This window comes from Homo sapiens, chromosome 1, assembly GCF_000001405.40.
Source record: "Homo sapiens chromosome 1, GRCh38.p14 Primary Assembly".
In the NCBI taxonomy this organism is placed as follows: domain Eukaryota; kingdom Metazoa; phylum Chordata; class Mammalia; order Primates; family Hominidae; genus Homo; species Homo sapiens.
In genome coordinates, this window is record NC_000001.11 from 232,842,266 (window position 1) to 232,857,987 (window position 15,722).

General features: G+C 38.8%; 1 long non-coding RNA gene across 5 annotated transcripts in view; it reads left to right on the plus strand.

Annotated features, from left to right (window-relative positions):
• The window catches only part of LOC101927711 (uncharacterized), a 92,142-nt gene that overhangs the window by 26,937 nt on the left and 49,483 nt on the right, over nucleotides 1–15,722 (plus strand). For 2 of the 5 annotated variants that reach the window (XR_949280.3, XR_949281.3), the window contains exon 1: nucleotides 1,004–1,312. The exons of 1 other annotated variant lie outside the window; for it this stretch is intronic. This is a non-coding gene — a long non-coding RNA (uncharacterized LOC101927711). Of the gene's footprint in view, nucleotides 1–999; nucleotides 1,313–15,722 lie in introns of those variants that run through there. 2 more of the 5 variants (XR_949279.4, XR_247101.4) reach the window with 2 other exon arrangements.

A 15,722-nucleotide genomic window follows, 5' to 3' on the forward strand; every position in this document is an offset into this window, starting at 1 on the left:
GAAGTTTCCCACCATAGCAAGCCATTCCTTCTAGTCCATTTAAAGTCATATGATCCTGTGCTGTAATTATCTGCTGACAAGTTTATTTCTCTGCTGGACAGTGAGCAGCTTGATGGTCTTACTCACCAGTTTTTTTTTTTTTTTTTTTTTTTTTTTGGAGACAGGGTCTTGCTCTGTCGCCCTGGCTGGAAAGCAGTGGTGTGATCACAGCTCACTCTAACCTTGAATTCCTGGGATCAAGCAATCCTCCCACTTCAGCCTCGCAAGTAGCTAAGACTTCAGGGATACATCACCATGCCCAGCTAATTTTTGTTTTTTACTTTTGTAGAAGCAGGGTCTTGATATGTCACCCAGGCTGGTCTGGAACTCTGGACCTCAAGGAATCCTCCTGCAGTGTCTCCCAAAGTGTTGGGATTACAGGCATGAGCCACCTTGCCTGGCGCTGATCTTACCTTTGATCCTCAGCTCCTAATAAAGGGCCTGGGATGAGTAGAAACTCAATAAATGTGACCAAATTAACAAAGGAAACAGATGGAGGATGGCATACAAAAGAAAACATGCCATACCTGCACATTTTTAAATGTTTTCCCTAAATGTTTTTATTTCCTTTTATGATAAAGTCAGAAGGAAATAAAACAGGGCCGGGTCACTAAAGATTGTACAGTTCATTTTCATTCCTGGGTTTTTCCAGCAAGAGCAAGATTATGGTTCTCCTATTGGGCTGCATCTGCATTTAGTTTGAATTGTCCTGTTTTCAGCAATACATATGATGATTAACTGCTAGAATTCAATAATGGGCAGTAAGATTAAGTGACGATGGAAGATTAATTTAAATACAGTCTGAGGTTAAGTGAGGAAAAGCAAGTATTTTATTTTTGTCAAAATTTGAAGTATTATTAATGCTGGGATCAGTGGTATAACTAGAAATAATAGATTAAAATTAAGAAAGGAAAATTTTTAGAGAAAGATAAAAAGTCTCTAGACAGTGAGACCTACTAGACTGTGAAATAGGCTTTCAAGTAAAGTGATGGAACACAATCCCTGGAGACATTCTAAATAAAGGAACAATGGACTAGAAAGTGTTTTGCAGCGAGGAATTCTGCATTGATGACTGGAGCTAGAAGGGGGCAGGGAAATGGGACGATGACCAGATGTGGCCCATGGCAAGGCCGTGCATTGTGAAGGGAGGAGGAGGGTCTGAGATCCGGGAGCCCTGCAGAGAGTTTGCTGAAGAGTGAAGAAAGGACGGCGTTAGTAATGGGATGAGGGATACTGGAGTCCGAATTAACATAGCACACAGAGAGATATTCAGGTTGGTAGAAAAGGCTAGCTAGATCCAAACACTGACAAAGAAAAAGAAGCTTGGATGGAGAGAGTAGATCTCGCTCAGAGGATCTTGATAGATTAGAAGCATTTAATCCTGACATAATTGGTAGCAGGAATAAAGTGCAGACTATTGAACTTGGAATTAGCCCTGTGCAATAGAATACTTATAGTCACTTATAGTCTCTCTCCTTATGGAAGGCAGGTGTAAGGTGGGGATGGGGCAAGGAAGCCCTGCATCTGATAGAGAATGGATATTTGCCGAATATTTGTTGAATGAAGGAAAGAATGACTGGATAAAAGTCACATAATCAAAGTACAGTTGTAAAAAAGATTAGTTTTACAGTCAGGTGCAGGACAGATTAGAAGAGAGAGAAGCTAGAGATAGCACAACCATGGAGAAGCCTCTTGGAGCATGATATAGAGCACTGGCTTTCAAACTTCCTGTCCCAGTAAGAGATAAATGGCGGGGCATCATATCTTTCTCACATCTGTAATCCCAGCACTTTGAGAGGCTGGGGTGGGAGTGCCACTTGAGGCCAGGAGTTTGAGACCAGCCCTGGCAACATAGTAAGACCCTGTCTCTACAAAAAATTAAAAAAAAAAAAAAAGAAAGAAAGCCGGGAATGGTGGCTTGTTCCTGTGGTCCTAGCTACTCAGGAGGCTGAGGTGGGAGGATCACTTGAGTCCAGGAGGTCAAGGCTGCAGTGAGCTATGATTGCGCTAATGCACTCTAGCCTGGGTAACAGAGACCCTGTCTCAAAAAAATTTTTTAAATAAAAAAAAAGTTATATTGTGACTCAGTGTACACATACACATGCCCACATACACAAGTATGTCACAAAGCAATACATTCACTATTGAGTAAGGAATGATATGAATGTTTTTTGTATTCTATTTTTTTTTAATGCTGGCTGGAACATACTAAATTGACTTTATAACTGGCTAATGTAAATGCAGTTTGAAAAGCATTGATCTGAAAATAAATAACCAATTACTATAATCAAATGAGACACAATAAACAGGATACTTTTTGAAGACATATTGAAGTCCAACTTTTTTGTTTTGTTTGTTTGTTTGTTGTTTTGTTTTGTTTTGTTTTTCGAGATGGAGTCTCGCTGTGATGCCCAGGCTGGAGTGCAATGGCGCAATCTTAGCTCACTGTAGCCTCTGCTTCCTGGGATCAAGCTATTCTCCTGCCTCAGCCTCCCGAGTAGCTGGGATTACAAGCACGCACCACCATACCTGGTTAATTTTTGTATCTTTAGTAGAGACTGGGTTTCACCATATTGGCTAGGCTGGTCTTGAACTCCTGACCTCAAGTGATCCATCTGCCTTGGCCTCCCAAAGTGCTGGGATTGCTTAAAGTGGGAAATTCCCAGCAGCTGACCAGTCATTTAGACCAGGGAGATGCGGTTAGTCATACGGAGGAAAGGTGCAGTGACCTCAGATACACTGTGAAAATTCTCCTTTCGAACCTGCCAGAGCCTTTGTTATACTTATATATCCCTCAACACAGAAAACTCAGAGCACTTTTAGGAAACTTACTGGGGACTCTAGGTGTGGGAATCAGTTAAATACCCAATGGGTTGTTTTGATAATTCAGATTAATGTCAACATATGACACAAAGCTCAAAACAAAGTTATTATTATTATTATTTTGGTAGAAAATAAGTCATGGGCCTTCTAATCTAGGACAGAATTGAATTGAATTTTAAGGTTAAATATTAATCCCACCAAGTTTTCATCTTCCCAATTTTTTTCTCAATGACACAGATTCATCTTATTTTTACAATTCCTTCCAGTCCAAATCTCTTGGATAAAGATGTTTGTAAGTTGTTCTAATTTCTGTTGCTCTTCCCACTGGCAGACAGAAAACTGTTTTGCTGTCTGAGCTTCCCAATAGGACCGTTGATCTAATTCTCCCTTCATTTCTTAATAGGTTTCGAATGATCCTCTCTGGTATTCATTTCTCTCCCGACACACCAGTAAAAGGCCATCTTTCTTCCCTTGACTCTGGCTGACAGTAATATATTCTTTTCTTTTCTTGGCCTTAATTGACATTGTTTGTACTCACAGGGATCTCTTATCCCTCTTCCTTCCTGGTAGTTTAAAAAACCCACCTATATTCACGCCTCATTTGTCTGAAAGCATTCCCTCGAGAAGCTTTGTTGGCAGTTACTTGGTCTTTTGGAAGTTCTTTTTAAATCTTGGCCTCCCCTCTGAGTCTTAATTACGTGTTTCTGAAAATTCTTCAGCTTTCTCAAAGACTTGTGGAGAGCAATGTAATGGAGTTTCAATTAATGGATCCTCTAGGAAAGAAGACCTTTATAATCCACTGTGTTTGTATTTTTAAAAAGGCAAAACAAAATAATCTTTATAAACTGGTACACGGTGTTGGTTTGCTATCTAGGCTCAAGGAAGATAGATTGCCCTTTGCTACCATTCTTGAAAAAGTGGAGAGAGAGAGTGGATCCTTGTGAGGTGGAGCTAAAGGCACCTGAGTTTAGAGGTGGACACATCTGGGTTTTAGTACCGGGTCTGCCACTAATTTGCTTTGTGACTTTGGGCTGGGTGTTTAGTCCCTCTGAGCCTTAGTTTCCCCATCAGTAAAATAAGTGTAACACTATTTACTTTAGTAAAATAATGGATTAGATAGGAGGATGTATATTAAGTGCCTAGGACAGTGGTTCTTCAACTTTGATAAGTGTCATAATCACCTATAAATTAATAAGGAATACAGAGGCCCACTTGCACGGAGGTCAGCTAAGGTTCTCTGTATTTGTATCAAGATCCCCATGTGATTCCACTATACACTGAAGTTGGAAAACCTAGTCTAGCATCTTGTAGACATTCACTACATATTAGCCCATTGCCCCATTTTAACATTCAGAGCAGTCAAAAAGCAACTTTAAGCAATTTAAAGGAAATTAATTTTGATTTAACCTTGAGTTTCAAAGGCCAGAGAACTGGAGAGAAAAGGAGTAGTGTTGAAGATAAATCTATTTTATGTCTCCCAATCTGTAGCCCTAGAGGCCAGACCCTTCAGCCTCATATTGCAGCTCCCGGCTCTAATTGTTATCTTTTGCATATTGATAGGAAAGCATACTCTAGAAATATGTAGTTTTATACATTTTTAAATCAAAAGGTAAAATTCATCTGAATTTTTAAAAGTTTTTTCATAGTTTGTACTTTTTACTACCTTGCAGTTCCTATTTAATGTTTTTAGAAAAAGGCCTCTATTTTGTTACTTTTTAACCAAGATTATCCTATATTACTTGTACCTCTGGTTGCAGTGTTGTTTTATTTTGTTTATCTCTTTATTTATTTTGTATTATGTTTTATTCCAAAAGCATTTGAGGAGGCTTACAGAAACTTGTCGTGGACCTCTGGCTTCTGCTGAGGATGTAAAAACCTGGAAAGAGAGCCTCTCTTCTTCTAATAACAAGAAAGAGTTAGATAACCTCCCAAATCATAATTTTCTTGAATTTATCAGAGATCTGAGGTCATAGGGCAATCAAATACCTGAAATCTAAGAAAAAAAACAAGCACTTCTAAGGAGCCATCATAACCCTGGCTTACCTGTGAGAGAGAAAGGAGACACTACCCCTGATATAGTTCAGAAGATTTCAGCCAAATATTTTAATAAATTGCTAAAGGTTGAGTATAAGCTCACACAACAGCATAGAATCCCTGGGAGTCTCAGATATAAGGCGAGTTCACACTGGCTCACAGACTCTTCTCCATGAACCTCACCATGTGCTCACAAGAAAGATTCAGGGCAGACCCAGAAACCCGAGAAGGCTTCCCTCAGTGGTACACACTTGGAAGAGGGGGGTGGCCACCGTTGTTGGAAGGCATGAAGTGCCCCTTTCCGCAGACTCGTTTTCTCCATCTCTCCTATGGAACAAAAGCCTTAAGCTATTGGGGGAAAGATGACAATGTTGTTCCCAGGACAGAGAGGAAGACACATCTCAGCTGGGGCAAACCAAGGGACAAAAGCCCTTGACACTTGAAGGAGAGGGAACAACACTCTGTTGTAGATTCTGATCATTAGAAATGTCTTACCACGGAGGATGGTGCAGGAAACTCACATAAGATATGTCAAACATACAAGATAGAGTTTGGCTGCCATAGGAAATAGGCCAGGACCATTTGAATTTTCCACCACTGACACCCAATGACACAGGGCTTATCTAAGACTGTGGATGAATCAAAACAACAGAAAACATCCCCCTACTCCATAGTTAGCAAATGTCAAGTAACAAATAACAGCAAATCTACCACTGGGGAAGGAGCAAGAGCATGGAACAAAACCCTCTCTGCGGCCGGGCGCGGTGGCTCATGCCTGTAATCCCAGCACTTTGGGAGGACGAGGTGGGCGGATCACGAGGTCAGCAGATCGAGACCATCCTGGCTAACACCGTGAAACCCCGTCTCTACTAAAAATACAGAAAAATTAGCCAGGCGTGGTGGCGGGCGCCTGTAGTCCCAGCTACTAGGGAGGCTGAGGCATGAGAATGACGTGAACCCGGGAGGTGGAGCTTGCAGTGAGCCGAGATCGTGCCACTGCAGTCCAGCCTGGGCGACAGAGCCGGACTCCATCCCAAAAAAAGAAAAAAAAAAAAAAAAGAAAAAAAACCCTCTCTGAGGTTCAGTTACACAGGTAAAGCTTAAAGATGACAGTGAAATGAGAATGTAGAGAATAATTCTTAAACATAAAATAATACTAGAAAATAATGCCTGTGGTTCATTGACCGTGATCATAGCAACAAAACTCAAATCCAGCTCAACGACTGACTAGATTGTCTCAGCCTTCACTCTGAAGACTAGCAGAAACAGGATGTGGCCAGGCCCAGTAGCTCATGCCTGTAATCCCAGCACTTTGGGAGGCTGAGGTGGGCGGATTGCTTGAGACCAGGAATTCAATATCAGCCTGGCCAACAATTTACCGACAAGAGGCAAATTGATCAACAGAACCAGACTTAGAAATGAACGTGATATTGAAACTATCAGACAGAATTGAAAAACAATGATCAATATAGTAATTAATAAGGTAGACATCATGCACAAAGACATGAGGAATTTCAGTAGAGCAATAGAAATTATAAGAAAGCAGGAAATAAAAATTTTAGAAGTAAAAATAGAGTAACAGAGATGAAGAATGTCTTTAATGGGCTAATCATAAACTTGACACAGATAAGGAAATAATTAGTATATTTAAGATAGGCCATTAGAAATAATGCCAACTAAAAAAAAAAAGAATAAAAAAATGCCACATCCAAGAGCTATAGGATAATATTGAATAGTCTAATATTCATGTAATTGGAATCCCAGGGGGAAAAAACAGAGAAGAAGAAAGAAGATATATTTGAAGAGATAATGGCTGATAATTTTCCAAATCATTGAAAGATGCTAAATCCCAAATCCAAGAAACATAGAGAAAATCAAGCAATATAAATACAACACACACACACATACACACACACTCCTAGATGTGTCGTATTCAAATTGCTAACAACAAAAAATAAAGAGGAAAAATGTGAAGATAGCCAAAGAAAATAAATACATATTACTTATATACAGAGGAAATATTTTCCCTCATTTCGAGGGTGGCTCTTCACTTTGTTGATGGTATTCTTTGAAACACAAAAGTTTTTCGTTTTGATAAGTATGATTTATCCAGCTTTTTCTTAACCTTTTTTTTTTTTTTTTTTTTTTTTTTTTTGAGATGGAGTCTCACTCTGTCACCCAGGCTGGAGTGCAATGGCTCGATCTCGGCTCACTGCAAGTTCCGCCTCCCGGGTTCACGCCATTCTCCTGCCTCAGCCTCCCGAGTAGCTGGGACTACAGGCAAGCACCGCCACGCCCTGTTAATTTTTTGTATTTTTTAGTAGAGACGGGGTTTCACCGTGTTAGCCAGGATGGTCTCGATTTCCTGACCTCGTGATCCGCCCGCCTCGGCCTCCCAAAGTGCTGGGATTACAGGCGTGAGCCACTGCGCCCGGCCCATAACTTCTACATTTGGTGTTATATCTAGGAAAATGTTACCCAATCCAATTCACAAAGATTTAGTTCTGTTTTCTTCTAAGGGTTTTATAGGCTTAGCTCTTACATTTAGAGTTAAGATTCATTTTGAGTTATTTTTTGTGTATGCTGTAAGGAAGGAGTCCAGCTTTATACTTTTGCATGTGGCTATCCAGTTGTCCCAGTACTATTTGTTGAAAAGACTATTCTTTCCCCCATTGAACTTCCTTGGCATCATTGTCTAAAATCAACTGACCATAAATATAAGTTTTTCTCTATAGGATCTCAATTCAATTTCATTTATCCATATATCTATCTTTATGTCATTAACATACTACCTTGATTATTATAACTTTGTAGTAAGTTTGAATCAGAAAATGTGGGTCATCCAACTTTGTTCTTTTTCAATAGTGCTTTAGTTATTGTTGGTTCCTTCTATTTCCACATGAAGTTTAGGATCATCTTGTCAATTTCTGCAAAGAATGCAGCTGGGATTTTTTAAGAATTGCTTTGAATTTATAGTTGGATTTGGAGAGCATTGCCATCTTAACTATATCAAATCTTCCAATTCATGAACATGAAAATGTCTTTCCATTTATTTAGATTTTTAATTTATTTCAATGATGCTTTGAAGTTTTCAGTGTACAAGTTTTGCATCTGATTTAAAAAATTTATCCCAAAACATTTTATTCTCCTTGAGGGCATTTTAAAATAAAATCATTTACTTAGTTTCATTTTTGGATTGTTCATTGCTGACATATAGAAATTCAATAGATTTTTATGTATTGATTATATATTTGCATCCTTACAGAACTCACTTATTAGTTCAAATAGTTTGGGTTTTTAAAATTTCCTTAGAATTAGTTGTATGTGTGTGTATATATATGTATGTATATACAAAATTAGTTGTATATATGTGTGTATATATATGTGTATATATGTATGTATGTATATAAAATATTTCATTATCAAGTAAAGATAGTTTTACTTCTTTCTTTGAATCATGATATCTTTTATTTCATTTTCTTGCCTAATTGTTCTGGATAGAACCTCCAGTATAATGTTTGAATAGAAGTGGCAAGAGCAGGCATCCTTGCCTTCTTGATAATCACAGGAGGAAAGCATTCAGTGTTTTACCACTTAGTATGATGTTAGCTATATTTTTCATAGATACCTTCTATCACATTGAGGAAGTTGTCTTTTATACCTAGTTTTTCGGTATTTTTATTATTATAAGCCATTGTATTTTGTCAAAAAATATTTCTGTTTCTATGGAGATGATCATGTAGTTATTATTTTATTATATTAATGTGGTGCATTATATTAACTAATCTTTGTATATCAAACCAGCCTTGCCTGTCTTGGATAAATTGTATTTGGTTAGGGTGTGTAATTATTTGTATAATCTTCATATGTTGTTAGCTTTGGTTTACTTATATTTTGTGGCTAATTTTTGCCTCTATATTCATAAAAGGTATCGGTTTGTAGTTTTCTTGTGATGGCTTTATTAGCTTTGTTATCAGGATACTTCTTCCTTCAGAGAATGACTCAGAAAGACCTCCCTGCTTTTGTAAATTTTGGAAGCGTTTATGAAAGATTGTTGCTACGTCTATTCTAAACATTTTTAAAATTTACCAGTGAAGCCATCTGAAATTGGGCTTTTCTTTTTTTGGAAAGTATTTTTTGCTGATAACTCACCATCTTTACTTGTTCTAGATCTATTTAGATTTCCTATTTCTTCTTGAGATAGAAGCCCATTGTTCCCTCTCCAGTGACTACTGGTCTTCTGGTTTTCATGAATATCTTGATTGACCATTTGTTGGTTTTTATGGATAGAGGGCTGGGGAGAGGGTTCTGAGAATTGAGCAAGTTACACCACCCCAAAGGTTGTTGTTTTTACTAAGATGTAACTGTTTTTCTCGAATAAATTCTCCTCAGATTTTTGCAAGCCTTTGATTATTTCCAAAGTTCTGAAAAAGATTATTTGATTTTTTTCCTACAGTCCTTATTTCTTCGATAGAGGAACAGATTTTCAGATGTTCTTATTTGGCCGTTCCTACTTACATCACTCCCAAAGATTTATTTGTATGTGCCATAATTAGAAGTGACCTTACAATTTAATCCAGGCCAAGTGTCTAATTTCATAGATATACAGCAGAAGAACAGAAGATGTAATCTTTCTTTTCTGAACTTAGGAGGTCCTAAGAGTGTCTTAACTTTGAGACCCTTAAAAGCAGGGACTTTTTCTTTCTCACCGTGTATCCATAAGAGCCTAGTACTGTTCAGCACGTGCCAAGTGTACAAAAAAAAAAAGTTGCTCTCTTTGTTTGTCTGTATATTTGAATAGTATCCCCATGTGTATATTTGAATAGTATCCCTATGCCACTGCATGCCTTGCATTTTATAAATCAACTGGAAAAGTGAAGATCCCTAGGGCCAAGAGTGGGATGTGCCTGAGGTTAAATTCGGTATCTCTCTCACGTAGCAATACCAGACAACTGTCAATTATATGCAGAAGTCTTATAGACTCTGTAGTCTGGAAGTTTAATGTTAATGCCTCAGCCTATACCTGGCATAATATTGATTTAGTTCAATTTTCTAAATCTCTGGCCTGTACATTTACAATAATAATCATTTTAATAGTGGGATTGAAACCCTTCGAAAGCCTGAAAAACATCCCGAAAGATATAAGAACAATAATGAAAGAAAACTATTTCTTTCAAGATACTTTTATTGTGTACAAGTTTTTGACAGCAGCTAAATCATTCACTCATTTCTTTAACAGATAATTATTGAGTACCTACTGTATGCCAGGCCTTATGCTAAGTGCTGGGGTTATAATGGTGACTAAGACAAGCATGGCTTCATTCCCTCTTAGAAAGTAAATGCTAACTCCAATCCAAGCAGAAAATGAGAATGGAATCACCAGAGTGCCTCATCCACAGCCATTCTGGATAAGCAGATATATACTGAAATAATATCACTAGAATATCTTCTGGCATACTGCAAGCTCATGGGGGGTTGAAACCATTTTCAACTAATTTCCCTGTATTCCTCTCCTTTTTCTTCATCACTTGGTAACTTACTTCTCCAAGACTTCTGGTGTGGATTTTCCACACCTTCTGTGGTCTCTTCACTTCCCCCATCTTTTCCATTTATTTTCTTCTTCATCCCCTCACAGAAAAGCCTGATGGCATGTTTCCTTATTTAAATAGTTTGTTCCTTAAATATAGAGTGCAGGGTAAGATGTAGGAATATGTAAAGAAAGTCACCAAGGGGACGGTACAGTTTCAGAGACTCCAGGACTTCTCTACCCCATCAGTGCTTGGCACTGCGTAATTGGAGAGTCTTATTTCATTTCAGAAAGCTGTGGGATCTGCCTAAAATGCAAATACCCCTGGGGAAATTGTTGTTTTGAGTCTTATAAGTTATTTCTATATTGAAGTGAATGAGCTTATTTAAACCTTTTCTGAGAACAGATTTTGAGTGGGAAAGATAGAAAAATTGTGAGCAGTAGGTAACTGAAATTATTGAGGGAGGAGGTGGAAAAGGGAGGTTGAGGATACCACCATTATGAAGGAGAAGCAAGTCAGCTTTTCACACTAGACCGAATTTCCTGTACTTTCAAACTATACTGCTAAGTTCCTTTAAAATGCTCTCAGAAATTACATTAACGATTAAAATTATCTTAATGGTAAGTACTCAAGTTGCACTGAATGTGACACTTGGGATGGAATGACACTTGGGTTATATGAAAGGATTTGGAATTCTTCCCTATGTATTCGGTGCCTCTGATGTATTTCTTTCCTGCAAACCCCTTCCCACCCCAATTTTAAGGGTGAGAATTCTTGGCTTTCTGAGTACAAAGTACTGAATACTAAGTCAGTGGATTCAAAATTGAGATTAAAGAAGAACATAAATGAGATTTTTAGAATGATCAAAAAAGCACCGAAATTTACAGTCAGAACAGAAACTAAGTGCTTATTTTATAGATGAGGATACAGGCTGAGGTTTGGTTAGATCATTTCTTAAAATATGTCACATTCCTTATCTTCTGCCATGCCTATATGTCAATTTCTGCCTCATACACACAAATCTAGATGTTTCTGTACAAATATTTTCACTCTCTTCAGGAATGCAGTTCAGACCATAATCATTAATTATTCTTTTAGTTTCAGGAGGACTGTTTTAATCATTTTTTCAATTTTAACTAATCAATTTTAATGATATATTTTACAGTAATATTAAACAATAAGGTTTTTAATATGAAAGAAATGTCTTAAATGAACTCAGCATTTAAATGAATAGCAGTTGTGTGAAATTGTGTGTGATACCATCCAATATAAAATATGTGGACATAACAATTACAGACCATCTGTTAAACTGGCATCTTGTTGTACAGGAATGAAATTTCAATTAAATTTTATTATCAGGAAGTGTAGATGACAGATCCCATATGAAAGTCCACAGCCAGTAAACTGTCTAAATAAAGAGTGGGATGTCATACAGTTAATGAGTTGGATCGAGTTTCCTGATTACATACTTTGTAAATAATGTGCTTGTTCACCAGCTTTTGGAAATGAGTACTGCTTGTAAGGATGGTGGTTGTTTTTAAAGCGATGCCCATATGGAAGGTAAATTGCAATGGTCGTGCGACACAGTCCAGTCATCTGGTTAATGTATGATTCACCACTTTAGCTGGAGAGACTGAAATTAAACCATGCATGAGATAAAAGAATGACTTGAAAGTGGAGAAACAAAAATCAGATCTCAACCATCTCTAAAGAATTTTGACTTACTGGAAGCCATGTATCCATGGCTCATAGACCAATTCACAACTGCAAGGAACTGACGTCATGATCCAACAGCGGGTTCAGATGTGGGTTTGAATCATCAGAGAGGGAGAAAGTCTAATAGTATCAGCAAGTCTCAGGACAAGGGTCTGGATTATTAATGGGAGAACAAATGAGCTTATAGTTTTTGACAGTGAAATGTGTCTCATAACTCATTGGGCAAGTTCCTCATTTTCTGCTGTCACTGTTATTAATATCTATTGTTGCTTGGGGTAGTCAAGAAAAAAAAGAAACCATACCCAAAAATCTAATTGCTCCAGTGGCAACGTGGAGTGTTGTCAGAAAGAAGCTTAATTCTCATTCCATAAAACAAGCTAAGAAGAATCTCAAGCCATTTCTCTTTACTATGCTTCTGAAAAACGCATAATTAAGTAGTGCTCTAATGGATCATAAAATGCATAATCCACAGCTGTGGACCCTTGGAAAGTTATTCAAACTCTTCCAGGACTTATGCTGAATAATATCTGTGTGATTTAGTAGGCAGGATACAGCACAGGACAGGATTTGCCAGAGGCATCTTCAGCTGGGTGACCCGTCCACTCTGGGCCCTGATACTTCCACATTTCAAGGTTACTGAAAGGATACCATATCCTAGAAAGGGAGCTCTTCTGTGGACTTTTACTGTTATGTTAGCTCTTCTAGCTTTTAATGGAGAGTGAATATTTTTTTCTTCTTTCTATTGGCTTTTACTTGGATTAAGGCTATGTAAATCCACATTTTTTGGAGATAGGGTAGAAAAAATAATATGCTATGGAGTGCCTGGCACTAAGGCCAAGGCTAGCCTTGGGGTGACACCAGAATAGCAGGCAAGTGTCAAGATTGCAGATGAGATTTTGCTTAATTTTTAAGAATTTTCTTATAGGATATAATTTACAAACAGTGAAAGACACAGATCTTAAGTCTATGGTTCAATCATTTTTGACAAATTATATACCCATGTAATTCACACTCCTTTCAATATATAGAATATTTCCGTGACACCAGAAAGTCTTCTTGTGCCTCTTCCCAGTCAATTCCCCTGCTCCTGACTCTCAGGAAACCACTGATCTGATTTTTATCACCACAGATTCATTTTGCCTATTGTAGAATATCATGTAAGTGGAATCAAACAGTATGCATGCTTTTGTGTAAGGCTTCTTTCACTTGGCATGATGTCTTAGAGATTAATCCATGTTGCATGTGGCATGTATCAGTAATTTGTTTTTATTGATAAGGAGTATATTCTGTCATATAAATATAGCAACAGAGAGCTTGTCTGTTTTTTAGTCAATGAACTCTTGTACTGTTTCTAGTTTGGAGCTATTATAAATAAAGCTGCAATGAACATTCTTGGATAATATTTTTGGGACATTTTCTTTTTCTTGAATAAATATCTAGGAGTGGAATTTCTGGGTTATAGGGTAGGTACATATTTAACTTTCTAAGAAGTTTTCTGTGTTCAGAGTCATCGTACCATTTTACATACCCACCAGTTAATCCACATCCTCACCAACATTTGATGTTGTTGTTATTTTCTTATTTCAGTCTGTCTCATGGGAAGGTAAAGGCTGAGTTACTTTCAAGGCATTAAAATACAATAACCACCTGGGTGCGGTGGCTCATGCCTATAATCCCAGCACTTTGGAAGGCCGAGGCAGGCAGATCACAAAGTCAGGAGTTCGAGACCAGCCTGGCCAACATGGTAAAACCCATCTCTACTAAAAATAGAATGATTAGCCAGGCATGGTGGCACATACCTGTAATCCCAGCTACTCGGGAGGCTGAGGCAGGAGAATCGTTTGAACCCGGGAGGTGGATGTTGCAGTGAGCCGTGATTGTACCACCGCATCCAGCCTGGGCAACAGAGCGAGACTCTGTCTCAAAACAAAAAACAAGCAAACCACCCCAGACCTCTAAGGTCTAGAGTCTGGAAATAGAGGACCTGGGTTTGAAGCTTGCTCCAACTCTTCAGGGGTGAGGGCCTGGAAGGCCAAGGCTAGAGTGCAGGAAGATTTGATTCATGAGAATTCTGAAGTCTTTACCCACACCTAAGGCAGATCTCTCACACTTCCTTTTCCTCACTCTCACTCCCTGCATCTATCTGGGCACCAAATCCCATCGACACTCCCTCCCCACTGCTCCTTTTGCAGTTTCCACTCATCACTCCCCAGCTTTTGTGCTTCGTTGTGGTGCTTCATTGTTTTTCCTCTGCACCACTGCAAGTTTCCTAATCACTTGACCTGCCCTGGAGAGGGATCATTCTAAAATGTGGATCTCCTCATAACACAGTCTGGTTTAAACTCCTTCAGTGGCTCCTCATTTCCTGTAAGATTTAAACAAATAACAGCTGATGTGTATTAGGAGCTCAGGCTGTGCCAGGCACTGTATTAAGCACTTGATTCTGTTATTGGATATCTCTTTGAAATAACTATTCGTATTAGCACCATTTATATATGATGAACCAAGGCTTAGAGAGTATAAGTGACTCCCCATAGTCACACATCTAGTCAGTGGCAGAGTTTGGAATCAAACCCAGATGCATTAGACTCCCAAACCTGTGACCTTTACAGATACAGGATAAGCCCTTAATCAAGCTTCTTAGGAAAAGTCTCAACAGGAAGATATACTTCCCAGACGGCAGCGTAAGAAGCAACTTGGGCCCACTCCCCAGTGAAAAAAAGCAAAACTATTGAAAATGAGAAAAAACAAACAACTATGTAAAATCTCTGAAAATTTTCCTAATGGTATAAACAGCAAATGACAAATAATTATCCCAGAAAGTCTACTAAAACTCAGGAAGAACAGTGTGTTTGTGGTATCTGAGCCACAACCACCTGCTCCCTCCCTCTCCCTTTACCTCCTGTCAGCTTGGTGGGTTTGACAGAAGCTGCACTCCCAGCAGGTAGGGACCAAGAAGGCAGGGCCTCCTATACTCTTAGCTCCAGTCAGGCATCACTATATCTCACTGGAAGGGCCAGGCTGCCATCATTTCTCATTCCTTCCAACCTCAAGTTGAAGAGGCTACACTCCTGGTGAAAGCCTAAATTCTCATTCCCCTGAGAGGTCAGGGTCTACCTTCCTCTATCTAGCCAGTCCTCAGGAAATGGAGGCTCTCCCCAAATCAGGGAAGGCTGAAAATACTGGGGTCCTTTTTTCCTCATCTCAACTTGATCATAAAGCAGGGATTCAACATCAGGAGAGGAAAGCTGAGAAGACCAGAGGCTATCTCCCAGCCAGCACAGAGTAGTGGCTCAGATGTTTTGCTAGGAGGAGAGGCAGTCAATAAGAAGAGTGCTCCAGAGCGTTCCAAAGGAACCGACTATTTGAAACAGTGTAGGGAAGTTCAAACCTAAGGGAGCTGTCAAAAACAACAGTTCCTTTTTAACTAAGAGCAACAGGACCAGGCGCAGTGGCTCACGCCTGTAATCCTAGCACTCTGGGAGGCTGAGGTGGGTGGATCACTTGAGGTCAGGAGTTCAAGAGCAGCCTGGCCAATATGGTGAAACCCTATCTCTACTAAAAATACAAAAATTGGCCAGG